The 27,216-nt window shown below is 47.7% G+C and overlaps 2 protein-coding genes across 29 annotated transcripts in view; one reads left to right on the top strand and one right to left on the bottom strand.

Moving 5' to 3' along the window:
- SMC1B (structural maintenance of chromosomes 1B) overlaps positions 1-6,806 on the top strand; it is a 69,537-nt gene extending 62,731 nt beyond the window's left edge. For 2 of the 5 annotated variants that reach the window (NM_148674.5, XM_011530144.3), the window contains exons 23-25: positions 1,072-1,141; positions 5,300-5,410; positions 6,212-6,806. In NM_148674.5, coding sequence (NP_683515.4) covers positions 1,072-1,141; positions 5,300-5,410; positions 6,212-6,313 — 283 coding nt within the window. In that variant the 3' untranslated portion in view covers positions 6,314-6,806. Of the gene's footprint in view, positions 1-1,071; positions 1,142-5,299; positions 5,411-6,211 lie in introns of those variants that run through there. The other 3 variants (NM_001291501.2, XM_011530145.3, XM_047441333.1) reach the window with 3 other exon arrangements.
- A 2,107-nt stretch (positions 6,807-8,913) lies between these two features.
- Positions 8,914-27,216, bottom strand: part of FAM118A (family with sequence similarity 118 member A) — a 32,996-nt gene continuing 14,693 nt past the window's right edge. For 5 of the 24 annotated variants that reach the window (NM_001104595.2, NM_001349916.2, NM_001349914.2 and 2 more), the window contains 6 exons: positions 22,806-23,027; positions 20,138-20,266; positions 18,159-18,444; positions 15,487-15,519; positions 14,458-14,541; positions 8,914-10,483 (listed from right to left, as the gene is read on the bottom strand). In NM_001104595.2, the coding sequence (NP_001098065.1) occupies positions 10,464-10,483; positions 14,458-14,541; positions 15,487-15,519; positions 18,159-18,444; positions 20,138-20,266; positions 22,806-23,027 (774 nt within the window). In that variant the 3' untranslated portion in view covers positions 8,914-10,463. Of the gene's footprint in view, positions 10,484-10,709; positions 11,190-12,900; positions 13,036-14,457; positions 14,542-15,486; positions 15,520-15,680; positions 15,917-18,158; positions 18,445-20,112; positions 20,267-22,369; positions 23,028-24,392; positions 26,793-27,216 lie in introns of those variants that run through there. The other 19 variants (NM_001349915.2, XM_017028842.1, XM_017028843.1 and 16 more) reach the window with 13 other exon arrangements.

Here is a 27,216-nt window from a genome sequence, read left to right as displayed (position 1 = left end):
GACGGCGATGGTGACTGGGCCAAGGTGAGAGGATATGGTTGTGCAGACGGAATTTGCTGACAGGTACGGGTGTGAAGGAAGTGATGTGAAGGGGATGGCTCTGTGGGTTTTGACCTAATCAACTAGAGTAATAAGAGCTGCCATTAACTGAGATGGAGAAGACCACAGGAGGGAACATGTTTGGAGGGCAGGGGAGAAGTTTGCTTTGAGATGAGTTTGAGATATGTATTAGTCACCCACATGGAATTGTAGAGAAAGTAGTTGGACATTTGAGGTTAGAACTCAGGAGACAGGGCCGGGCGCGGTGGCTCACGCCTGTAATCCCAGCACTTTGGGAGGCTGAGGCAGGCAGATCACAAGGTCAGGAGATCAAGACCATCCTGGCCAACATGATGAAACCCCATCTCTATTAAAAGTACAAAAATTAGCTGGGCATAGTGGCGCACGCCTGTAATCCCAGCTACTCGGGAGGCTGAGGCAGGAGAATCACTTGAACCCGGGAGGCAGAGGTTGCAGTGAGCCGGGATTGTGCCACTGCACTCCAGCCTGGTGACAGAGCGGGACTCCATCTCAAAAAATAAAAAAATTTAAAAAAAATTAAAAAAAAAAAAAAAGAACTCAGGAGACAGGTTAGAATTATTGGTAAGAGGGCGGGAGCCATCAGTATTTGGGTGGTATTTAAAACCCTGAGGCCAGATTTAATCACCAAGGGAGTTGATTAGATAAGCACAGAGCCCTGAGGGCACTGCAGCCATCCAAAGTTGGAGAGATGAAGAGTTCTCAGCAGACTCAGAAAAAGCAGGGGCTGAGGGGAAGTAGACTGTGTCCCCTTACAAGTCACAAAGCAGTATTTCAAGGAGGGAGTGACCAATCCCAAATACTCCTTGCATAGGTCACATACATGTGGACTGATAACTGAGCACTGGATTTAGTAACATAGAGGTCACCGATTACTTAGAAATATCCAAAAGAATGTGTTTTATTTATTCTGAATACTGTTAATCTTTTCCTCCAAGTCTTTTGTAAAACAAATAGAAAATTGTAACTTACTTGATTGTAATTTTTTTCTAGTTTTCGTCCTGCCCCATTCTTTGTTTTAGATGAAGTGGATGCAGCCCTAGACAATACTAACATAGGCAAAGTAAGTTTCTGCTTTTCATTTTCAATAGACTGTCTACAATTCAAGGATCATGTGAGGCAAGCAATGGAAAATGCTCATTAAAAATCAGTCCTTGGTCTAGGCACGGTGGCTCACGCCTGTAATCCCAGCACTATGGGAGGCCGAGGCAGGCAGATCACAAGGTCAGGAGTTTAAGACCAGCCTGACCAACATGGTGAATCTCCGTCTCTACTAAAAATACAAAAATTAGCCAGGTGTGGTGGTGTGCGCCTGTAATCCCAGCTACTCAGGAGCTGAGGCAGGAGAATCACTTGAACCCGGGAGGTGAAGGTTGCAGTGAGCCGAGATTGCACCACTGCACTCCAGCCTAAGCGACAGAGTGAGACTCTGTCTCAAAAAAACAAAACAAAACAAAACAAAAAATTCAGTCCTTGGCCAGGCACCCGTGGCTCACGCCTGTAATCCCAGCACTTTGGGAGGCTGAGGCAGGTGGATTACTTGAGGTCAGGAGTTCGAGACCAGCCTGGTCAACATGGTGAAACCTGGTCTCTACTAAAAATACAAAAATTAGCTAGGCGTGGTGGTGGGTGCCTGTAATCCCAGCTACTTGGGAGGCTGAGGCATGACAATCGGCTGAACCCAGGAGGTGGAGTTTGCAGTGAGCTGAGTTTGTGCCACTGCACTCCAGCCTGAGCGACAGAGACTCTGTCTCAAAAAAAAAAAAAAAAAAAAATCAGTCCTTGTAGGCTGGGCTTGGTGGCTCATGCCTGTAATCTCAGCACTTCGGGAGGCTGAGGCGGGTGGATTGCTTGAGTCCAAGAGTTTGAGACCAGCCTGGGCAACATAAGGAGACCTTGTCCCTACAAAAAATTTAAAAAAATAATTATCTGAGCATGGTGGCACACATCTGTGGTCCCAGCTACTCAAGAGGCTGAGGTGGGAGGATCACCTGAGCCTGAGAGACAGAGATTGCAGTGAGCCGAGACCGTGCCACTGCACTCCAGGAAAAAACAAAACAAAACAAAAAAAACAGTCCTTTTGAAATCTAAGCTAAATATCTAAAACAAGTTGATTCAGGGTAGTCTTCATTCAAGGCTTAGAGGACCTTCCAGAGTTGATGAGAAATCAACATGGGGGTCAAATGAGGATCACTGTACTTGATCAACAATGTTACTGCTGGCATAACAGGTTTCTCACCAAATCTAGATATTGGGAATTAGAGAACCCCTAATAACAGGCCCCAAGAGTACCATCTCTAAATTCCAAAAGAATTAAAGTTTAAAATCCTACCTTCCCAGTTTTTATATCTATTTATTTATTTGAGACCAGGTTATGAGACTGGCTAATTTTTGTGTTTTTGGTAGAGATGGGGTTTCACCATGTTACCAAGGCTGGTCTCAAACTCTTGGGCTCAAGAGATCTACCCGCTTCAACCTCCCAAAGTGCTGGGATTACAGGCGTCAGCCACCACACCAGCCCTACTTCCCAGTTCTATCAAAATGTATCCAATAATTTACTGTACTTGAGCATGATCCTGTTTTCAGTCTTTGAGAGAATGAGAGAACTAAGGAACAGTTTCACACTTAGGAGTTGAATTTTAGTCAGTACTCAAGGATCAGTGGGTAGATACTCAGAGCCCACCTAAAAGAGCTGGGCTCTCAGCCCAAACAAATTGACAGTGACTAGATTGAATTTTGGACATGAGAGTGGGGTCTGCTATGGAACATGAACAAAGGATGGAGGCAAATCCTGGCAGTGCCCGACACTGCCCAGGGGAAGGGCAGCACCGGCCTGCAGAGTTCCCAGTACCATGGTTCTGCTACTGGGGCCATTCATTCTTGGAGATGGGTGAATTAGGTTCTCCTGGTTCTGATTCCAGGCCCATCCATCTTCTAGAAATGACCAGGCTTTGCATTAACGGCTGCTTACAGGGTGGCTGCTCTGGTCATGTTGAGAGATGTATTTCTCATCATTTACTTATAAATTGGCATTCTGGGCCAGGCGTGATGGCTCATGCCTGTAATTCCAACACTTTGAGAAGCTGAGGCGGGAGGATCACTTGAGCTCAGGACTTCGAGACCAGCCTGAGCAACATAGTGAGACCTTGTCTCTATTATAAATAAATTTAAAAAGAAAAAAAGAAATAAATTGGCATTCTGGTTTATAACCTAGTCTTGTGAGTGATGTTAAGGAGCCCGTGGCTGAGAGATGTTTTCAGTCTCGGGGTACCACCCAGTAGGTTCTGCACCTCTGAAGCTGACCTCCTTGATTGCTTACTCTGTTGAGTCTCATGTGAATTGCCTGGGTAGCTGCAACCTGAGGTACCTTCTGATGGCATGAATGTAGTCTTTGAGCATTTCTCAAATTGTATTCATCTGAGAAAATCTCTTGAAGGCCCTGCATTTTTAACATGGCCCAGGGATACACAAGAGTATCACATCAACTCCATACCCCCAAAAAGTCTCTGCCAGAAGCTTCATGGCAGCTGGGAAAGGAAACAGGACATGGTAGCTGGGGAGGAAACAGGACATGGTAGCTGGGAAGGAAACAGGAAAGAAGAGCATCTTGAGTTGTCTCCTGAATGCCAGCCAGCATGCATCAAATGACTGGACTCCATGGCAGACTCATCTGGGAGAAATCTCCCCTTAGGAGGAGAATTTTGGCACTTTATATCCCACATTCTGTGAGGGGAAATCTTGGTGGCTGTCTTTTTCTTGGCTGTATTGAAGGTATTTGTTTGAGGAAAAATTAGATGTTTGCATTGGTGGCATCTCCAGGTACTAGGTCTTACTTCAGACTCCTACTAGTACCCATCCTATGTATTAAAAGCTCTTAATTGCATTATCCCTTTTGAGATGTATTTTTCTGATACTCCGTTGCTGAATTGAGTATGAGCAGTTATGTAGTATGAAGAACTATGAAGCACCCTCCACTCCCTCTTGTGATCAGGGTGCCCAACAGGTAACTCTCCAGGAAAAACGCATGCCCTGCATCTTCGCATCCTATCTCCCCTTCTTTTCCTATTATGGGCCCAAGACCTTTTTTCAGCCCTGTCATAGTGGCTACTACCATTGCCTCTAATGCTGGAAGTTCCTTCTATGAATTCAGCCTCTTAGAGCAGTTTCTTTCCTTTCTCACGTAAAACATGGCCACTCATTCCTCAATGGAAGCTACCATTCCTACTTCCAGAGCTTGTGTCCACAGGATCTTTGGTGCACATGGAGAAGACCCATTCTAGGCCCTCAGAGAAATCCAGGAGTTGGTATTACCTTTGTTAGACTGTTGGTAGTTTTTCTCTTCTTGGGGTTTATCACCGTCCAAGTTCTGAGTGGTTTGTTCACCAAGACTCATCTCTATTGAGTCCATTTTGCACTTCTCATTTCCTTGGAATTGAGCTTCCTTAGGGAACCAGAGTTCACCTCTAACCAAATGACTTGATTATGGATTACGAATACATATATAATTGCCCTGTTTTTCCTTTCAGGCTGAGTTGGCAAAATAGGAAGGTGGAAATTATTTTGGATTTTTGCTCTTCTTGTTGTTAGATGGAGTCTTTCACTCTGTCGCCCAGCCTGGAGTGCAGTGGCACAATCTCGGCTCACTGCAACCTCTACCTCCCGGGTTCAAGCGATTTTCCTGCCTCAGCCTCCCGAGTAGCTGGGATTATAGGCACCTGCCACCATGCCTGCCTAATTTTTTTGTAATTTTAGTAGAGACGGGGTTCACCATGTTGGCCAGGCTGGTTTTGAACTCCTGACCTCTGGTGATCCGCCTGCCTCAGCCTCCCAAAGTGCTGGGGTTACAGGTGTGAGCCACTGCGCCCAGCCTGGAGGTTATACGTTTAAATACCAGCCCTTTTTCACCCTCAAAAAATACTCTGAGTGGTAGTTTTTTTCTTGTTATAAAGGCTGGTTACCTATTCACATCACAGTATCTTAAGTTGGAGCTTTATTCTTTAAAATATTCTTAAAGTTTTAGATCATAGGTTTAATGAAGTTTATCTCATTTTAGAATCTATTTCCATTTCTGCAGTTGTTGAGGATTTATTGAATTATTGGAAAGGTGGATAAGTCCTTGTCACCTAAACTGACCAGACTCAGAGACATGCAGAATTACTGTCTCCAGAGCCCAGACAAGGCCTTTCCTTCCTAGTGAAATGTGTGTTTTTATTTCTTCCAGGTGTCAAGTTACATCAAAGAGCAAACTCAAGACCAGTTTCAGATGATAGTCATCTCCCTAAAAGAAGAGTTCTATTCCAGAGCCGACGCGCTGATCGGCATCTATCCTGAGGTAAAGACAAATCAGAGGCGAGAGGAGTGTACCCAATGCCAACTTCCCTTAGTACCCTGACAGCCACTGGGCTTTCCTAATTAAAACTTCCAAATGGAGTCTAATGCTGAAATGACTTTTTAATCAAATAAGATTAAAAATAACTACTGGTGCTTTCCTAGACAATACATAGAGATTGAAGATATATTTTAAGTGAAAAAAGCAAATGGAAAATTGCAGAACAGTAAGTAGGATAGTTTTGTTTCGTGAAATAAGTCCATGTTAATTTACACGAACTGTTAACATTATACTTCTTATTTCTGCAGTGTTTCAGTGTTTTAAGCAAAAACAAATGCACTGTGGTAGAGCAAGGAACCATTTATCCTCCAAAAGTATCAGAGGACAAAACAAAGAAATACATTAGAAGTTCCAAGTTGTATAGTAACTTCTAAAATGTGAACACACCTTTCTCAAGCCATTGAAAATACTAACCTGAACTCATGAAGTAGAGCCACTAGTTCAGGTCATTTGGTTTTGGACAGTTAGGATTTACTTCCTGAATTTTCCTTTAAGCAAAGATAAAAATTTACCTTCCTGTGCCTACAGAATGTTAGGGGACCACCTGGAAATATAATGCATGAGTAATGGAAATTCTCATACCAGATAATACCAAAAAAACCCACAACCAATATAAATGCAGATATCTTACTAGGTTGAAGAAGATTCCTTTTGAATGCAATTCTAGACTCACTAATGGCTCTTACTTTAATAATACTTTTTCCCTAATTAGGGGAACTTTTAACTGTCTTCTCTCCATTTTAGTACGATGACTGCATGTTCAGCCGAGTTTTGACCCTAGATCTTTCTCAGTATCCAGACACTGAAGGCCAAGAAAGCAGCAAGAGACACGGAGAGTCCCGCTAGGGGCAGTCCTGCAGCAGTCACCTGATCACTGTTCAGTTCCCACTCTAATACTCACACAGCTCCTCCACAGGAGACTTCTGGAGCAAGCAGGACCAGCCTGGTGCACCCTTTAAGAGAAACCTTAGTCGTTCTAGCCAAAGAGGCTGTGGCTCACTTTAGTTGAGTGTTCAGACCTCATTCTAGTAGGGAAAGTTTTCAGTGAGAGCTGGTGTCAAATGAGTTTTTAAAAAACAAACAAAAGGTACAATTTTGTACTATAATTCTAACTTCTATTTTGAAATAAGCTAGTTTGGTTGGAAAAATTTTGAATTCAGCTTCATCTTCACTCTGATCTTGCCTTGCACCCAAGTAATCTTGAAGGGAACTTCTCTTGGTTTTTAAACATACTAGTTATAAGATTGTTAATAAACTGTTGAACCTGGCTTTTGGGAAATTGTTTCAGAGAAACTATGTTAGTATTGAAAATATCAATAAAAAATGTTCTAATTTCAAATGTCTCCAATGTAGAATTTTAGAAGCCAAAAATATTTTAATGGTGAAATTGAATTATGTCTGTTTCAATGCAATCTGAATTTTTATAAATAGAATCTCTGTTACGGAAATATTGAAGAATACAGAGTTTCTCAAGTGACAACTGACTTCTCCACTTACAAACGTTATTATGTGCAGAAAGCTGCACTTTCACCACTTCATTTCCACTTCAAAATGGAACAAGACAGGCCTGGAGCGGCAGCTCACACGCTGGTAATCCCAGCACTTCGGGAGGCTGAGGCGGGTGGATCACTTGAGCTCAGGAGTTCGAGACCAGCCTGGCCAATGTGGTGAAACCCTGTCTCTACTAAAAATATAAAAATTAGCCAGGTGTGATGGGGTGCACCTGTAATCCCAACTACTCAGGAGGCTGAGGCAGGAGAATCGCTTGAACCCAGGAGGTGGAGGTTGCAGTGAGCTGAAATTGCGCCACTGTGCTCCAGCCTGGGTGACAAAGACTGTCTCAACAAAAAAAAAAAAAAAAAAAAAAAAAGGGACAAGAAAATTCTGAGGTGGGCTTCCACTTCAGACTGCTTTGGGCCCAAGTGCTAACCAAGGAGTAGCCTCCTGAGTAAATGTATCCATTTTAACAACACTGTTTCATGTAATAACAGAATGCACTCTGTGAGGAAGAAATTAAATCTCAAAAAGATTTGGTTCCTTCCTGGAAGGGACTTCCGGTACGGTGAGATAGCTGACCTCTATGAACTGCAGACAGCAGAAGCCACTCTATTTGTCCTCCTTTTTCTTTTTTTGACACGTAGTCTCGTTCTGTTGCCCAGGCTGCAGTGCGGTGGCGCGATCTCTGCTCACTGCAACCTCCACCTCCTGGGTTCAAGCGATTCTCCTGCCTCAGCCTCCCAGGTATCTGGGACTATAGGCATCTGCCACCGTGCCCCGCTGATTTTTGTATTTTTAGTAGAGACAGGGTTTCACTACATTGGCCAGGCTGGTCTCGAACTCCTGGCCTTAAGTGATCCACCCGTCTCAGCCTCTCAAAGTGCTGGGATTACAGGCGTGAGCCACCGCGCTTGGCTGTTCTCTTTCATAACTTTGACTTATAGACTGTCAGTGATCCCACCAAGTTCAGTCATTTCTGATATAACAGAGCATGCCCAGTAACCTAATTTAAGGGCCACAGCACATATTCAGGCTTTGTTGAGATAGTAAGGAGGTTCTTAGCAGGTACTTGTATAACTATTTAAAATGTAACCATTTTATTTTTATTTTTTTTTAGATGGAATTCCCTCTGTCGCCCAGGCTGGAGTGCAGTGGTGCAATCTTGGTTCACTGCAACCTCTGCCTCCTTGGTTCAAGTGATTCTCCTGCCTCAGTCTCCCAAGTAGCTGGGATTACAGGCACACGCCACCACGCCAGGCTAATTTTTGTATTTTTAGTAGAGACAGGGTTTCACCATGTTGGCCAGGCTGGTCTCAAACTCCTGGCCTCAAGTGATCCGCCCCCCTCAGCCTCCCAAAGTGCTGGGATTACAGGTTTGAGCTACCTGCCCTGTCTTAAAATATAACCATTTTAAAATGTAATAGCTACTCTAGCTTGAGGCAGTAAACAGCAGGGCCAACTTTGTTACCTCCTGATGTGATGTTTCTCACGGACTAAACTATACACAAGCAAGTGCACTATGCTGGAATTGCCTTTAATCTATCAATCGGATTGGAATAAACTTTACATTCTACAACGAGCATACAACAGAACTGACTAGATACATCCATGTGGTGCAGCAACATGGCTGTGTCCTCCAGCAGAGCACACAAAGCTTTTCTTAAAAATGGGCTGTAATGAGCTTTACATCCTACTGCATAGCATCCTCTATGCTTGTAATTCTGCTATACCCTGTGTCTGGCCAGCTCTTAGATTCAGATATTCCCTGACTGCACTTACTAAATGACATTAAAGAAAAATTTATAATGTTTGCTTTTTAAAACATTTAAATACATTCAAGTAATCATTTAGTTGATTTCACAGTTGGGTGGCAACTCAAGCTAAAAATTCTCACTAAATAACATTCTAGCAAGCCTTGGCATAACTAAAGAAACACTGAGCACACAGGGTTGAAGTTAAAATTTTATTTATGGCTGGAGTGGCATAAAAGATTTGTTTTCCATGCTTCAAAAAGAAAAAAAAAGTTTTCAGGGCTTCTCTCCCTCCCTATGCATCCTACCCTTCTGTTTCCTGTTCTTAACTTTATCTGTACCTATGGGAGTCATCAATGGGGAGTGTCACAGGGCTTGGCAAGAAATGTCACATTGAAGATAAGTGGCCTCAAACTGAAACCAAGCAGGGCTGTTTGTTTCCAAAGAGAACCCTCCACTGTAGGGCCGCTCATGCACCGCCACAGAAGCCTCTGCCGGGTCACAGTCAGAGAAGCTCCCCGGGCACCGGCAGCACACTCAGCACAGCCGTTTCATGTGGGTGAACCTGAGAAGGTTTAAAGTGTTGCAGGCCCTTTTCAAGTTTTGCCTCCCTCACTCTCTGCAAACTCCCTTAATGTGGGCCATGGAAGAGAATTTTAAGAGACAATAACAGAAAGACTGGATATTACCCCAGAGAATAAAGACTTGCAAAGCCTGGAACTTATAATGTTTGAAACCTGGTCTCTCGAACTTGAGCTATCCCGGTTGTCAGTCCCACAGTGGCCGTGCACAATGTTGGCCTGGACTGAAAAGGGCCTCTGGCTCCTCCGATTTCAGTTCTTAGCAATATCAGACCTGTGTTTCTTTGGAACAGAAGTTACTAAAACAACCTAATTCCAAAGAAGCCCTTTTGATCCAGCTGTTCTCCCTAAAAACATTTTCGCTAGCGGATTCATTCTTTACTATTTAACAGTGGACCTTTAAAACGTACCTTTAAAATGCTTTCTATAGTAACATGTTTCCACATACAAATTATAAAATGTGTTTATTTTGCTGGGCGCAGTGGCTCATGCCTGTAATCCTAGCACTTTGGGAGGCCAAGGCGGGTGGATCACCTGAGGTCAAGAGTTCGAGACCATCCTGGCCAACATGGTGAAACTCCAACTCTACTAAAAATAAAAAAATTAGCTGGGCATGGTGGTGGACGCCTGTAATCCCAGCTACTCGGGAGGCTGAGGCAGGAGAATCACTTGAGCCCAGGCGGTGGTGGCTGCAGTGAGCTTGAGATCGTACCACTGCACTCTGTCCTGGGTGACAGAGTGAGACTCTGACTCAAAAAAAAAAAGTGTCTATTTCGTATTTTCTCTTTGGCAGCTACTGTTGCTTGGACAGTCTTTACTCTTCCCCTTTTATTACGAAAAATACCACCTTGACAAAAGAGAGCCTGTCAGATGGGAACGGGAACACCAGGTCCATCCCTTCCCACGGATTCTGGTCCCTGAGGTAGCTATCCATCAGTCCTTGCAAAGTCCACCTGAAATGTGTCCGCGTCACCCTCCTGCATAGTTCAACACACAGGGGAGCCCTCTCACCCAGCCTTGAGGGCCACATGCCCATGTGGCTCTCTTGGTGTATGTGACGGTTTCGCAATCAGAGATCCACGTGGAGTTCTCCATACATTCCTCTTCGTTTGGGCACTGTGGTTACAGAAGGCTAGTTTTCAAGTTGCAGGTTTTACTGTAAAGATTTCAAGACCCTCCAGCATCATCTGTTTAAATAAAAGAATGAAATGCCCAAGGGTTAAAGTCCAGCTAAAAGAAGTTATTTGCAATAGATTTCTATTTCAGAAACTGCTTTACAATTGTTCTTATGTACGGAAGACTTTGAAAACCCCTCCACAATGGAAACAGTAGCCACTGTCTGGAAATGACCTTGTGTAATTATCAGTACTATCAGGGGATCAAGCAAATGATGACATTACATTTGCAACGATCTGTGGGAATCTCAATCCATGAACATGGATGCTCTTTTATTTCTTAGTGGACTGAGGATGGGGCAATTTCAACAAACATACAGTGAGAGCCTGTTGGAGGTATGGAGAAGAATAAGCCTGTCGATTCCTCTGGGATCCCCAGGCTTGGCTTCTCTCACCCACATGCAGGACAGGCCAGGGCTTTCTGTACAACAGAGGCCAGGAGCTTCGCCCTAAGGAGACATGACTGGGTGGGGAGAGCCGGGGCTGCAGGTGCAGGTGATGGCGTCTAGGAGCACAGATCTCACAGGTATTGAAGAAAACCCCTGCCCAATGCTCCACAGCAAGGTCTACCAGGCAGTAGGCCCTACCCGCGATGTGCACACCAGTCAGAGGTAGGCCACGGGGGGACAAAATCTATGTACACACAACAGCAGCAACAGCAGAAGAAAGCCAATCTATTGAGAATAATCGCCCGGGCCTTCGTTCTTGTCAGCAGGCACTGGAGGAGCCCAGATATGCAGAAAACAAAACAATGAACGTGAAAGAAAGTAGTGGAAAAGAACCACCTACCCCGGAGGAAACAGTTCACAGAACACCAGTTTTGTGTTTTGTTTTTACTTATATGATGGTTCTACTAGCTGAACTCACAATCCAAATATTTGCAAAAAGATTTCAAACAGTTTGATCCAAAACAATATCAAAATCGAATTCTCTAAAACATGTGTGCCCCCAAGTGCATTTGAAGTTGTATAAAACTATTATTATTATTTTATCTTTTTTGAAACGGAGTCTTGCTCTGTCGCCCAGGCTGGAGTACAATGGTGTGATCTCGGCTCACTGCAACCTCCGCCTCCTGGGTTCAAGCAATTCTCCTGCCTCAGCCTCCTGAGTAGCTGGGACTACAGTAGGCGCCCGCCACCACACCCAGTTAATTTTTGTATTTTTAGTAGAGACGGGGTTTCGCCATGTTGGCCAGGCTGACCTGGCCTCAGGTGATTCACCTGCCTCAGCCTCCCAAAGTGCTGGTAATATAGGCGTGAACCACTAAGCCCAGCCAAAGTTGTATAAAACTAAATGAGAGGATGTCGAGTCTGTGACAGCTGCCCCTCACAGCTCTCCCACAAGGACTGCCACATCAGCTCACTCTCATCTTCCCTGCCCCTGGACGGCAGGACGCTAGGGCGCCCCCACCCCCTGCCACCAGCCCTCGCTTGTGCTATAATTCACTCTGCAGGTGGCCCTTTTAGAACTGCCTTATTTTACTTGACTAAATTTGCACTCACTAAGAATCTTTATAACATGGACTATTGCACATGGTCCCTGTGGTGTTGAAGGAACGTGCAGGGACATGATACTGCTCCAGCATACCCACTGAAGGATTTAAATGTTAAATGAAGAGGTAACTGATAAGCTGGATGCTTCGTAGCTCTCAGAAATTTTGGGTGGACTGCTATATAGGTATTTAAGAGTGTTTTACTTTGGCTTACTTATATAAAGTACTAAATATAAACTCCTATTATATGAAAATCCTCTCTCAATGTTTTCAGGAATGTAGTAGAGTCAGATAACCAGGTTGACTTCTGTCTCCAGAGTTCTCGCAGACTTACAACAGCAGATGCTCTGAGAAAAGGTAACTAAGAAAACAAGAGCTTGGCCGGGCGCAGTGGCTCACGCCTATAATCCCAGCAGTTTGGGAAGCCAAAGTGGGTGGATCACAAGGTCAGGAGTTTGAGACCAGCCTGGCCAACATAGTGAAACCCCATCTCTACTAAAAGTACAAAATTAGTCGGGCATGGTGGTGTGCGACTGTAGTCCCAGCTGCTCAGGAGGCTGAGGCAGGAAAACAGCTTGAATCCAAGAAGCGGAGGTTGTGGTGAGCCGAGATCGCGCCACTGCACTCCAGCCTGGGCAACAGAGCAAGACTCTGTCTCAAAAAATAAAAAAAAAGACATCAGAGAAAACTTAAAAGACGGTGGAAATCAATCCAGGCAATCCCAACTAGTATGACTTCCAGAAAGGGAGAACAGAGAAGATGGAAAGAAGAAATAAAGAGAATCACAGACCATTCCAGAACTGGAGAAATGGAAGAGGAAAAAGAACATGTGAGTAAGGCAGGTAAAAAAGTTTTCCACCTAAATACATCCTCATTGAATTTCTAATCAAGGGAAAAGAGGATCCTAAAAACTCCCAGGAAAAAAAGCAACGGGTACCTTCAAATCACTGGGAACAGGTTCCCATCAGACCCTCTTCATAGGAAACCTGGTCTTCAGACAGTGGAGTCCGGGGGAATCACAACGGAGAATCCCATGCCAAAACTCCCGCGAGCATGAGGATGGCACAGACACCTGCAGACACATGGCCCTCAGGAGGCGACCCCACACTGGGGTCTGCAGAAGCGGCCTCAGGAGGTACTAGCAGGATGGATGGGGGGCCAGAGCAAGGGAGACCTAGGCCTCCATCTCAGAGAGAAGGAGGGGAGCTCAGGAGGTAGCAGTCCCCAGCGGAGCCGACCAGGAGAAGGTGTCCTGGGAGATGTGGGGTGGCAGGATGAAGAGAATGCATACTTTTTTTAAAAAAAAATTTCTTATTCAGTTCTGAAAGCTGAGGGAGTGCATACATTTAAGAATATTGGGAAACGTTAGTTTTTGGAACACAAAGGGGAAAGAAGAACCTAAAAACTCCTCAAAAAGTAAGAAGTAACACAAATGTCTTCAAGCCCCAATATTAAACAATAAAAAATGGGAGAATGGAATATAAGAACAAGCCACATTTGACCCTGACATTGAGGACACATCCGCAGCTGGCACAGGCGGCGTGGCACTGGGCCCACAGACACAACACACATGCTGGCTAAGCAGGAAAGAACACTGACGCTGTTTTCATCACGGAAATGCTTTTGTTTGCCAACTTTTACAATCAACCTACAGACAGACTGGGGGTCTCGTTTCCTTTCTGTCCTGTCACCACGGAGACCGACAAAACGGGGAAGCCAGCGGGCTAGGGGGTGGGATACGCATGTGGGGGCCCATCCAGCCCAGGCTTCGTGTGGGGAAGTCTGGCTTAAGTATGTTATTTAAAGAATGAGAAATAACACACAGCACTACGCAAACCTGGGAGGAGGAGGAGGGGAGGAGAGGGAGGGACCGGCACGAACAAGCGAGATCGCCCTTCATAGCGTCAACAGAGAGGCCTATTCAAATACACTGTTTAGATAAATAGTTCAATCACTTAAATAAATCTTAGTCTGTAACAGAGGCAACAAAGCTCAAATGAGTTAAAGTGCTTTTCTCCAGAGACTCAGGTGACATGCATCAGGCTAGTGGTCACCCTTGGGGGCTGGAGGAGGCTGGACAGTGACAAGGGGTGTCCTGGCAATGCTGCTTCCTCAACTGCGTGTGATTAGATGGGAGCGTTCACTTCGCAAAAATGCGGAGCTGACCTTATGTAACTTGTGCACTTTTTATTCATCTTTTTAACTTTTCTTTTTGGAGAGAGCACCTTCTGCCCGCTGCACCTTCTTAGTGTATGTTTTCTCCGTAACATTTTTCTAAAGAGGTACCAGTAGCTCTGGGCAGTTGGAATCGGGTTGGGGTGAGAGGTCAGGGTCTCTGCTAAGTAAGCCTCCTGTGCTCTCTGGCCCTGACAGAACGTATGCACCGTCCTCCCACCATAGGGCGCGGGGCATTAAAGCGCAGCACGGTCCCTGAAGATGCCTGCCAACAAGAGAGACCCGAGGCAGCTCCCCACAAAAAGAACAGACACAATACCAGTATCTGATTGTGTGCGTTTTTTTGAAACTTCAATTCCATTCTCTTCTAACTTCCTCTTTGCACAGTCCTGGCATGCATTACCTAAAAGAGAAGAATTTATTAAGAAGCTTGTTTATTCAGAATCCACTCGCCAAGGCACAGTTCATAATGTGACCTTACTGAAGCACTGGCCAAGCAGACCCTGCCATCCACTAGAGATGACATCAACCACGCTACGGCTTCTCTCCAAAGAGAGCCATGCTTCCAGGAGTCGCATTTCAGTGAGAAAGCAAGTGTAATGAAGATGTCCTTTCGCATGGGAATAGGTGGCAACGGGGAGCCGACTGCGGCGGTTTCATACTTCCTGCACCACTAACATGGATGTGAGGCGAGCAGCTCCCACATCGATGCGCGTTTTCCCATCTGTGAACGCGCTGGGCCAAACAGCCAGGGAAAACAGGGCTGCGCACAGAGGCCTCCGCGCCACTCACCAGAGTCCCTTTTACCCAAATGATTCGGCAAGGGGAGGCACCTGGTGCCCAGCGCACACACAGGAGGACGCTCATGGCCACCGAGTCTCATTAAATTTATAAACAGGCAGAATTGAGCCCAGCAAGAAGAGCGTTCACATTTCAAAACAAGTATTAAATAGGAAGCTTCTGTGTGCAAGCTCAGACCCGTGCAACGAACATTTCGGAAGAGCTGGGTCATTCTAAGGCACTGCATCTGGCACCACATGGTATCACACAAATAGAACCTGTTCCAAGTCCCGTCACTCTTGGTTCTAGGGCAAGAAATTATTCTCAGGTGCCAGCTGGCTCACGTGTGATTCGGCTGTGCTTCCTCGTCAAAGGGATGGCTTTTAGTCTCTTGGTGTGGCAGGGACCATGCTAAGGCATGGCTATTTATCATCTTCAGTGGGGCTGTTTTAATACAAGCTAATTATTTAAGGTGAAAAACAAACGTTTATGATTTTACAGTTAGTGACAGAAGACAATGGAATGTGTAGGCAAAAAACAGGCTGGCAAGAAGAAAGATCTGCTTTACCCAATAATGTGGTGCTGTCCACGCGATCAGCATCTGAAGGAGAAAGAAAAGCAGTCAGTGGAGCCGAGACACCAAGAGCTCGTCCTCCTCGGCCACCCTGAGGCAGTGACTGGGAACGGCAGGGACTGGGAACAGGCTTCTGGGCAGGTCAGCCCGCGCGGGCTGCGGACTCCTGCGCTGCTCGCTGCCCTCACCTCTACCTCCCAGGCTTGGTGCGAGGACTCGCTGAAGGAGCCAGCTGGCAAAGGCAGCATGGTGTGGTGTCCGCGATCACTAGCATGACTGTCACTGTCATGGGCCTCCTCTCCCATCAGGAGTGGCACTCCATGAATTCGAGTACAAATGTCCTTCATGACACAGTCACAGATTAAAACTCCCAATGACCTTGCAGTCTTCTGGCAGCCTGTCGAATCCACTTGCCTGCCCCAACCTGGAAAGGGAGGCTCAGTGGGACAGAAAGCTGCTCAGCCCCACTCTAGGAGCCCGAGCACATGCAGGGTTACTCTGGGTCCTGTTCTTCCAGGGAGTGTGGGGGTGGAATGAGAAGCGGCGGACGGGGGCAGAGATGAGAAAAGCCCGCTGCCTCTCTGCAGAGCCACACATGTGGGCCGGTGCCAGGATGCACCAAATGGTGTATTTTGCTCTGCAGTCAGGCCAGGATCCCAATCCCAGCTTCAAAATGTCTGGGCACGTTATGTGCCTGTGCCAGCTCAGCTCATCTCGTCTATGAAATCATCTACTTACTAGCACTGCATGCTGCCATGAAAAACCAAGTCAGGTGAGAATATGGAACTCCGAGCAGAGGGTGACACATGGCAAGCAGGAGCTCTTTTCTTCTGCCCTTAATAAGAAGCTGTTGCCCTAATCATACTTTTATTTATGGAAATGGAACTTACATTGGTCCATTTTGCTAATTATTAGCAATTCTGAAAAGAAATGATAGTGGTTAAAAAAACAACAAAAACTTTAGCGATTGGATTATCTGTGCATTCTCTGGTCTCCAAGTTCACAGCTGGTCACATATACCTGCCTCTGTGGCTAACCTCGTTCTAGTGTGTGGTGAGTGTGCCTGGGTTTCCTGTTACAATTAAACGAGCCAGCACAGGCCTTTCCAAGCTTGCCATCATCAATGTTTTATGATGCCAAACTCGCAGCTATTAATTCCCTTATATCAAGATGACCAAGTTTAAGAATTTCTCACTTACCCTGGTCATTCCTGATAGATGAGCAATTTCTCAAAAGTGCCAAGGAGCACTACTTAAAAGAGGTGTTGCATTCAGAACAGGGAAAATACATTACGTGAAAAAAGAAGTAAAGTGTTCATGAAATCATTTTGTGCTTGTGAAGTTGTAACTTTTCAACTGCAGTAATAGGACACAGATATGAGATATCTGCGTCTTTCAAGTGTTAAGTATCACAACTGATAAAGCTAGCCTGGTAGTTTTCCTTCTTGGTTAAGGAAACCTGAAACAGGAATAAATGTGTCCAGCTATACATGTGTGCACAGCTGTAAACTTCAAAGTTACTGTATTTTTTATTTTTAGAGACAGGGTCTTCCTCCGACGTCCAGACTGGAATAAGTGGCCTGATCACAGCTTACTGCAGTCTCTAACTCCTGGGCTCAAGCAATCCCCCCACCTGAGCCTCCAGAGTAGCTGGTATCACAGATGTCCACCACCAAACCCAGCTCTTTTTTTTTTTTTTTTTTGGAAACAGAGTCTTGCTCTGTCACCCAGGCTGGAGTGCAGTGGTGCGATCTTGGCTCACTGCAAGCTCTGCCTCCCGGGTTCATGCCATTCTCCTGCCTCAGCCTCCTGAGTAGCTGGGACTACAGGTGCCCGCCACCATGCCCAGCTAATTTTTTGTATTTTTAGTAGAGACGGGGTTTCACCGTGTTAGCCAGGATGGTCTCGATCTCCTGACCTCGTGATCCACCCACCTCAGCCTCCCAAAGTGCTGGGATTACAGGCGTGAGCTATCGCGCCCGCTCCAAACCCAGCTAATTTTTAAAAACATTTTTGTAGAGACCAGGTCTCCCTATGTTGCCCAGGTTGGTCTTAAACTCCTGGGCTCAAGCAATCCTCCTGCCTTGGCCTCCCAAAAAACTGGGATGACAGGCGTGAGCCACGGTGCCCAGCCTGAAGTTACTTTAAAGTTCTAGTTACAGACTGTCACTAGGACACCAATTACTCCAATCTTCTAATTTTAAATTACAGAGGCAGTTTTAAAAAATAATAACGAAGACTGGTGAATTTTAGGGGTATGTGGGTTCCATCAAAAAAAGACAGAGAGAAACAACTGGAAGAGCCCTGTGAGTTTTGTACTTGAAAAGTGAAGACAGGCCGGGCGCGGTGGCTCTCGCCTGTAATCCCAGCACTTCAGGAGGCCAAGGCAGGTGGGTCACCTGAGGTCAGGAGTTCGAGACCAGCCTGACCAACATGGTGAAACCCTATCTCTACTAAAAATACAAAATTAGCCAGGCATGGTGGCGCATGCCTGTAATGCCAGCTACTCGGAAGGCTGAGGCAGAATCCCTTGAACCTAGGAGGCGGAGGTTGTGGTGAGCCAAGATGGTGCCATTGCACTCCAGCCTGGGCAACAAGAGCAAAACTCCGTCTCAAAAAAAAAAAAGAAAAAAGAAAGAAAAAGGAAAGTGAAGCCAGATCCCATACCTGGGCTTTGCTGTTTGCAGATCTGAGTGGCAAGGTCTTGCACATATCCTGGAAAGTGGTCAAAACAGTCCCCGTAGGATACAACTTTGATTCCGTGCAGAAGCATATCTGCCTGATGCTTAAAGAAATGGTCTTCATTCTCCTTCAGCACAAGCATGTAGTGCTCCAAATCCACCTTATTCGGCACGGAGTAAAGAAAGAGGGCCTGGAATATCTGATCACGAAGGGTCTCCCCACAGCCCACAAACAGAAAGGACTTGGTGCGGTATAAGTTCTGGAGGACTTCCTAGAAAAGGCCAATGAAGAAATTGAGTGCTCATTTGAAAGACAGCAAGAGCTTACAACTAACCAAGTCACATGTGTGTGCTTTTACATCACTGCTCCCTGACAGGCGTTCCCAGGGCCACGCTGAGGAGCACAGTTAGAAGGACAGTATCCTTCCCGACATGGCACTCAGGCCACCCCCCAGCAGCAGCCTGTGGCAGCAAAGACCAAAGCTGGGCTGAGCCTGCCTGTCCCCAGCTAAGCCAGGGTAGCTGGTCTTTGGCCGAGGCGGGTGGCAGTGCCCACACCCCTAACAGCAAGGCCAGCCCATCGCCCACCCCACACACTCACCAGTGCAGTCACCCAACTCAAATCTTCTCAAATTGGGTACGATTTTAAATTATTAAAACACAAAATGAGGACAGTAAATGTTTTCAGTTCAGAATTATGCACATAAAACACCCTGAAATTAATGTTGATCTCAGTGGGCCATATGTGGGAATTCTTGCAGGGGTGGTTTTGCGAATGAGGGCAAGAGAGCTGAGGAGGGGATCAGTGACCATGACTGACGGGGTCGGGTGGGCACAGGGAAAGCAGATTGCATGGGGTCACTCAGGCAGGCAGGAGGGAATCGCCAATGCAGCTAACCAAATATCTCAGAGAGGCTCAGTCTCAGCCCAGGTATTTCTTATCACCAAGCAGTATTAATGATGCAACTGAAAAGCATCTGCCCAGTCACTCATCTGCTGACACCTGTCACGGAATGACACCGGCCCAGGGATGAGCACTGAGGAACAGGGCGCCTAGCTGTGTGCTTGAGGGTAAATCCACAGACACCGAGTTTCTCAGTGCTTACCAGAAGCACAGCTTTTCCACACTGCATTCTAGGGCATCAGGAAGACCTCACAGCCGGGAGTAGGGGCACACACCTGCAGTCCCAGCTACTCGGGAGACTAAGGCAGGAGGATCCTTGGGCCCAGGAGTTCAAGGAAGCAGTGAGCTTTGATCATGCCACTGCACTTCAGCCTGGGCCACAGAGCAAGACCCTGTCTATTTAAGAAGAAGAAAAATAAAACCTCACAGAGAATGAAGTGTTATTTACTTTTATTTATTTATTTTTTTAGAAATGAGGTATCGCTCTGTTGCCCAGGCTGGAGTGCAGTGGTGCGATCCCAGTTCACCATAGCCTCTCCCTCCTGGACTCAAGCAATCCTCCTGCCTTGGCCTGCCAAAGCACTGAGATTACAGGCATGAGCCACTATACCAGGCCAAAAATGAAGCTTTACAACTACAGGAAGGAGAGCAGAGAATTTCAGACCAGAAGAAGCCTGGAAGAACAAGGACAACATTCTAGACTGCACGGGGCCTATATGTCATGCTGAGGAGTTTCACTATATACCTGGGCAGGTGAGAACCACCAAATGGCCAGGGCTCCTAGAGAGGGTACAGGCAGATCTCTGCTTTGAAAGGAATCATGAATTCCTTCCTCCAACAAATGTTCGCCAAGCATCTACTCAACATGGAGGCACCATGCGGGACCCCAGAGACACAGACGAGGACAAGAGACGTGGCCCCTCCCTCAGCAACTGTGTGCAGGGCCGACCTGAAGGGCACGGACGCCTGGAGCCTGGGAAGCCACTCAACTGCAGCCAATGGCCAGTGGCCACCAGTAATCCCTGAGAGGACGCACCGATGCTAATTAGGACGGGCCGTACCATGACTTCTGCGTCTTGAGTGACGTCTTTATACCCCGATGGGTCCAGCACCACCCCGCAGGGGTCCGTGTAGAGGCCGTGAATGTGGAGGACGCCGTACTTCATGTGCCCTCTTGCCCATTCAAGGACCTACCAAACATCAAGCCAAGAAAAAGAAACACATCCTCAAACTGTTTCAAACAGAGAGAAGAAAATACTGAAAATGGATTCATAGTTTTTAAACCTATCTTGGAAAGAATCATCGAGAGATGCTTCACTTTACACTTATACCTTCAAAACCTAAGAGAAACTTGGTTGTGAGCCCTAGTTATTCCCGTCCTACGACGGTACAGTCACACCTGTAAAACCTGAGAGAGGATCGGCTGTTAGCGCCAGTCATGCTGGTCCCATGATAGCAAAAGAGCTTCTGGGTGGCTCATACCTATAATCCCAGCTACTCAGGCCAAGGCCAAGACTTGAAGCTCAGGAGTTCGAGACCAGCCTGGGCAACAAAGTGAGACCCTGTCTCAGGGTGGAAAAAAAGGACTTATTTAAAGACAGACAGTTACATAGAAAATGTCTTTAACACTTGAGGTTACAGCAAACTGTTAAGAGTGATTACTTTAGGTGGGCTATGGGGACTTTCACTTCTAAGTTATATGTTATATTTTAATTACTGCTATTTCTGTATTACTTCTACACACCCAGAAAAAAATATACATATGTATGTGGAGAAAAGTATTTATCAAATGGCTAAGTGCATTCCTTTCAGTTCAAGATACAGAACGCAGGACCTTATCAAGATACAGAACACGGGACCTTACAAAGATGCCCATCGGGTCACTGTCAAGTCATCTTCACCCCGGAGCCCGCACAGCAGCAGGTGGAATGGACACAAACACCAACAGCCCTGCTGCCATCACTGGGCGGTGAGCCAGCTGGCAGTTCTGTTTATGCAACTGGCTGTCTGTTTCCAACAGCAAGCCCCAGCAGTGGGGACCATGTGGCTCAGACGCAGAGAGCAGATGTCTACTCCATGGCACTACCGGCAGGAGTGGGTGCCTTGGCCCTGCCCGCTCCCCTCAGGCGGCCCTGCCCCCGTGTACACTGCCCCGTGCCCCGTAATTCAGTCTCTTTGTACACAGAGCGGGGCCAGGGCCTTACCTCACAAGGCAGCCCAGACAACACAGGCAGCAGTGTTAGTTATGAATAACATAAGCAGACACACAAAGGTCACAAGTATGTCACAAAAGAAATATCAAGAGTCACATGAAACTACGCTCAACCTTTAGTAACACAAGAAATCAATGTTGAAAATTTCAGCTATCAAATGGACAAGGTGTATTTCATTTTGTTTCTTAATAACACCATGTGTTGGCAAGATACAGGAAATGGATACTCCCACACTCAGCCACTACCGGGAGTGTAACTGGTGCTCCTTCTGGAAAACAATTTGGTAATTTACATCATCAGTCTTTAAAACATTCATACCTTTTGACCATAAAACTCTTCTAGGAATTCATCTTGAAAACAGGACATAAAAGTATGAGGACCCTGTAGTGTTATTTATAACTGTAAATATATGCTAACTGATATAGTCTGGACATTTGTCCCCACGAAAATCTCATGCTGAACTGTGATCCCCAGTGCTGGAGGTGGGGCCTGGTGGGAGGTGCTTGGATCACGGGGCAGGATCATCCCTCATGGCTTCGTGCCATCTTCGTGACAGTGACTTCTTGAGAAATCTGGTCATTTAAAAGCATGTGGCACCACCCCCCTGCCACTCTCTCTGTTGCCATGTGGCATGCCTGCTCCCACTCTGCCTTCTGCCACTATTGGAAACTTCCTGAGGCCTCCCCGGAAGCAGATGCTGCTATGCTTCCTAGACAGCTGTGGAACCGTGAGCCAATTACAGCTCTTTTCTTTATATATTACCCAGTCTCAGGTATTTCTTTTTTTTTTTCTTTTGTTTTTTGAGACAGGGTCTCACTCTCTTGCCCAGGCTGGAGTACAGTGATCTCAGCTCACTGCAACCATCTCCCTCCCAGTTCCAGCTATTCTCCTGCCTCAGCCTCCCAAGTTGCCAGTGTGCCACTTTCCATTATTACTTTTTTTTTTTTAAGAGAAAGGGTCTTACTCTGTCACCCAGGCTGGAATAAGTGGCATGATCATAGCTCATTTCAGTCTGGAACTCCTGGGCTCAAGCAATCCTCCCACCTCGGCCTCCCCAGTAGCGGGGACTGCAGGCAGGCGCCACCATGCCTGGCTACTTTATTAGTAATTCACTGCTACAAAGTGAGAGCAGCTCCCAGGGCACAGAACTCCCCACACCTGCAGGCTGCCCGCAGCCCCAGCCCACACCTTGGTCTTGTCCTTCAAGTCCAGGGACTCCATGGGCTTGTTCTGCCGCCGGCCAAAGGCCTCCCGCACCCCCAGCCCATACCTTGGTCTTGTCCTTCAAGTCCAGGGACTCCATGGGCTTGTTCTGCCGCCGGCCAAAGACCTCCCGCACCCCCAGCCCATACCTTGGTCTTGTCCTTCAAGTCCAGGGACTCCATGGGCTTGTTCTGCCGCCGGCCAAAGACCTCCCGCACCCCCAGCCCATACCTTGGTCTTGTCCTTCAAGTCCAGGGACTCCATGGGCTTGTTCTGCCGCCGGCCAAAGGCCTCCCGCACCCCCAGCCCATACCTTGGTCTTGTCCTTCAAGTCCAGGGACTCCATGGGCTTGTTCTGCCGCCGGCCAAAGGCCTCCAGCAGGTTGTCATAGTTGGTGGTCAGGACCATGGCGCCCCTGTCCATCAGGCTGAGGATCGACTGCAGCACCACAGGACTCCGGATGTGCTGCTCCAGGTCGTCAAACACCTCCATCAGGCAGTCCTGGAAGAAGCTGGGCTTGGCATCGCCTGTGCGCTACAAAAAGGTGGAACGACAGTTACCAAAACATCAGCTCTTAACAACTACTGAGCACCTAAGCAGGCCATTTTCTGGGTGCCAGAGATACAGCGGCTGAAAACAAAGAAAATCTGGCTTCACAGCGTGCGCCGCAACCCCAGAGCAGGGGGACAGGGGATGCTCACGTGTAGCACGCCACCGGTGACGCTGCCACAGGAAAGCACGGCAGAGACGGGGGCAGGCGCTGTCAGGGGAGGTGGACAGGACCAAGACACTAGGCAAGCCTCTCTGAGAAGAGGGCATCTGAACAGGGGCCTGAGGAGGTGAGGGCTCGTGGAGAATGTTCTAAGCAGAGGGAAGAGCAAGGGCCACAGCACTGAGGTCACGGCTCAGGTACGTCCCAGGTCAGCAAGAGGCCACGGAGGCAGGAGAGGAGTGAGGGGAAGAGTCGGCAGCAGAAGCAGATGACCTGGGCCTTGAGGACCACTGTAAAGACTCTGGCTTTCCCTGAGCGCTGCACAGTCCCAGTTTTCTCTTTCTCGGTGGTAATGAAACAGCGTGTCTTCGTGGCACCTTCAATGAGGCGGGAGGCAGTGTTTCTTTTTTCTTTTTCTTTTTTTGAGATAGGGCCTTGCTCTGTCATCCAGGCTGGAGCACAGTGGTGCCAGGATAGCTCACTGCAGCCTCCAACTCCTGGGCCCAAGCGAGCTTGCCACCTAAGCCTCCCAAGTAGCTAGGGCTACAGGTGCCACCACCACACCCAACTCATTATATTTTTTAAAAATTTTTTTAATTTAATTTTTTATATTATTTTATTTCATTTTTCATTTTATTATTTTATTTTTTGAGACAGAGTCTCACTCTGTCACCCAGGCTGGAGTGCAGTGAGTGGCACGATCACGGCCCTCTGCAGCCTTGATCTCCCAGGCTCAAGTGATCCTCCAACCTCAGCCTCCCAAGTAGCTGGGACTATAGGTGCACACACACCATAACACCTAGTTAATTTTTTAACTTTTTTTTTTTTTTTTTTTTTTTGAGACAGAGTCTTGCTCTGTCACCCAGGATGAAATGCAGTGGCGTGATCTTGGCTCACTGCAACCTCCCCTCCTGGTTCAAGCAATTCTCCTGCCTCAGCCTCCCAAGTTGCTGGGACTACAGGTGCGCACCACCACACCCAGCTAATTTTTGTATTTTTAGTAGAGATGGGGTTTCACCATGTTGGCCAGGCTGGTCTCAAACTCCTGACCTCAGGTGATCCACCTGCCTCAGCCTCCCAAAGTGCTGGGATTACAGGCGTGAGCCACTATACCCGGCCTAAATTTTTTTTTATTTTTTGTAGAGACGAGGTCTCGCTATGTTGCCCAGGCTTATCTTGAACTCCTGCCCTCAAGTGATCTGCCCACCTTGGCCTCCCAAAGTGCTGGGATTACAGGCATGAGCCAGCACACCTGGCCCGTAGTGCCGCATATACTCTGAGAGACACAAGAGGATCAGGACTGAGGCCTGGCCTCCGGAAGCAGCCTCAGTGTTTCACCGGTGGCCTTGACAGGAGCTGTCTCCAAGGGGCCTTGACAGCCAAAGCCTGGCTGGGATGGCTTCAAGAGAAAAAGGAAGGGCTGGTGACAGCAGATGCAGCAACCATGCTGCAGAGCTTTGCTGGGAGGGGACAGAGAGGCGGGGTGGGGGCGGGTTCAGGAGGACACAGGGTCCCCTCTGCCCGGCTCCCAGCCTCATTGTCACCCTCTGCCTCGGCACCTGGGTATCAAAATACCTCCCCTCGCCCTCTGTGCCTGTTCGTGTTGCTTGGCCGGCACAAGAAAACCAAGACTCATAGGTTCCCACTCATCGCCACAGCTCTTCTGACTCTCCCACCACCCAAACCCTCCCACTGTTCCCAGGGGGTCTGCCATCAGCCAACCCCCACATCTCCATCATCTCCTGGGAATGCTCACCTTCTCCCCGACCTGAGACCTGGCTCTATGCATCCCTGAGACCCTTCCTGGGGGCTCCCCTGCACTCCCTGCACCGATGAAGGTGAGGGCTGAGTCTCTCCAGCTGTGCCGTCATAATTTGGGGTGATTCTCATGTCCGCTTGGATGATTCTCCCTGGGATCATGGCCTCTAAATTCCAGCCATCACTCTCCTCCAATAGTCCTGGTCCATCTCAGCCATCCACACATACAGCCCCCAAGGCCTTATCGTTACCAAGACCTGGATCCTTTCCAGAACCTCTGGGCCAGCTTCCCCTGTCCAACCACTCCCTCCCATCTGCCCACCTCTCTAGCACCCTGGCTCCCAGGGAAACTTCAAGCCCATTGAGGCCCGTGAGCTACTGACCCCACTATCACTGACCAGTCACTAGCTGCCCTGCTGTCCTGTCCTGCCTTCTTCCATCAAGCAGCTTAGAGTCTACAATGGATCACTACAACTTCCCCCAATACACTTGCAAGCCCCTCACCCTTCTCTGGTGTTGCTGGAATTCCTGATGCAACCAACTCTCAGCTTCCCCCATGCCTGTTCTCCGACTCTCAACACAGCTGTGTCGACAGCCTCACCTCAACGCTTCCTGATGGAGGTTTTCAAAAACACGCAAAAGTGAACAGAAGAGTTGAATGATGCTCAACTACTTGTTTTCAAGACAAACGATTCTCATTCTAGACAAACAGTCTCTCTTCACCTGAAGGACAACAAGGGCCCTCAGTGCTGCCCAGCGACCCCACTACCCTTCCCTGGCCTCCCTTCGACTCCTCCCTTCTTCTTCCTATGACGGGTGAGCAAATGTTGTCTACAAGGGCCAGAGAGAAAATATTTTGAGATGGAGTTTCACTTTTGTTGCCCAGGATAGAGTGCAATGGCACAATCTTGGTTCATTGCAACCTCTGCCTCCCAGGTTCAAGCGATTCTCCTGCCTCAGCCTCCTGAGTAGCTGGGATTACAGGCGCCTGCCACCACGCCAGGTTAATTTTTGTATTTTTAGTAGAGACAGAGTTTCATCACATTGGCCAGGCTGGTCTCAAACTCCTGACCTCAGGTGATCTGCCTGCCTCGGCCTCCCAAAGTGCTGGGATTACAGGCGTGAGCCACCGCGCCCCTGCCTCAGAGAGGAAGTATTTTAGGCCTTGTGGGCCAGAAAGTCTCTGTTCCAACTACTCACCTGGGCCTGGAGGCATGAAAGCAGCCACGTACTATACGTAAATGAATGGGTGTGGCCGCCTGTCAGAACCTCATTTGCAAAAACAGGCCCAAGGCTGTACATTTCCAACCCCTGGCCTGTGATGAAAGGTGTTCCTTATTAATAGAACACCCATGAGTGGCAGAGTCACCTGACTAAAAACATTTCCCAAGCTCTGCTAGGTGCAGCCCTAGCTAAAACTCTGGCCAATGAGATGAAACAGAAGCGGTGTATGTGACTTCAGTGGTGGCCCTTGAAGCCCCCCACTTCCTCCCCTCCCCGCACTTCCCTCCTCCACGCACTCCCCGCGCACGCACATCATTTACAGCTGCCCGCAGGGCACCCGACGGAAGCTGCCTGTTGAGGGTGGCAGAGCCAGCAAAGAGGGGCCCTGCCCGGCCACCATGTTCTCCTTGGGCTGCCCACCCGGGTCTCTAGGTGGGGATTATAAAGGTGCTCACATGAAGCCATGTGGTTTAAGGTCTCCTTTCACAGCCAACCTCAACTCTCCCACTCTCCTTGGTGACGAGCTCACTTTTTTTCGTGCTCTCTCCTCTGTTCAAACGTCCAACATCTCCTCCCGTCCTGACTCTCAGATGGTGACTGTGCCTCTTCAGTAAATACAAGAGCAGAAGAAGACAATGACTGCCAAGAGCCCCAGCCATAGGGTCCAGCTTCCCAGCCTTTATGGCCACACGCCATAGCTGACGGGGACAACAATGGCCTGCCACGCACCTTCCCCTGCACCAGACCCATCGGCCCCAGGGCCTCGCTCAGGAATAGCTCCTGAATCATCAGTGCTTCTCCTCTCAACTAGATCATCTAGATCATCTCTGCAGCAGACAAAGAAGCTGGAACTTCTCCCATCTTCAGATGTTTTCTAGGAAGCACCTGTCATCTGAAGAAATATGGCCGGCCTGCTTACACCAAACACGCCTAAGGGATATCCCTTCACTAAGTGAATATACAATCACAAAGTTCATACTGAGTGCAGCTGGACAATCTCCCTGAGACGATCTCACACAGTCAGGCTCC

This window comes from Homo sapiens, chromosome 22 (assembly GCF_000001405.40).
Source record: "Homo sapiens chromosome 22, GRCh38.p14 Primary Assembly".
In the NCBI taxonomy this organism is placed as follows: domain Eukaryota; kingdom Metazoa; phylum Chordata; class Mammalia; order Primates; family Hominidae; genus Homo; species Homo sapiens.
This window is presented reverse-complemented; position numbering and strand designations above follow the sequence as displayed.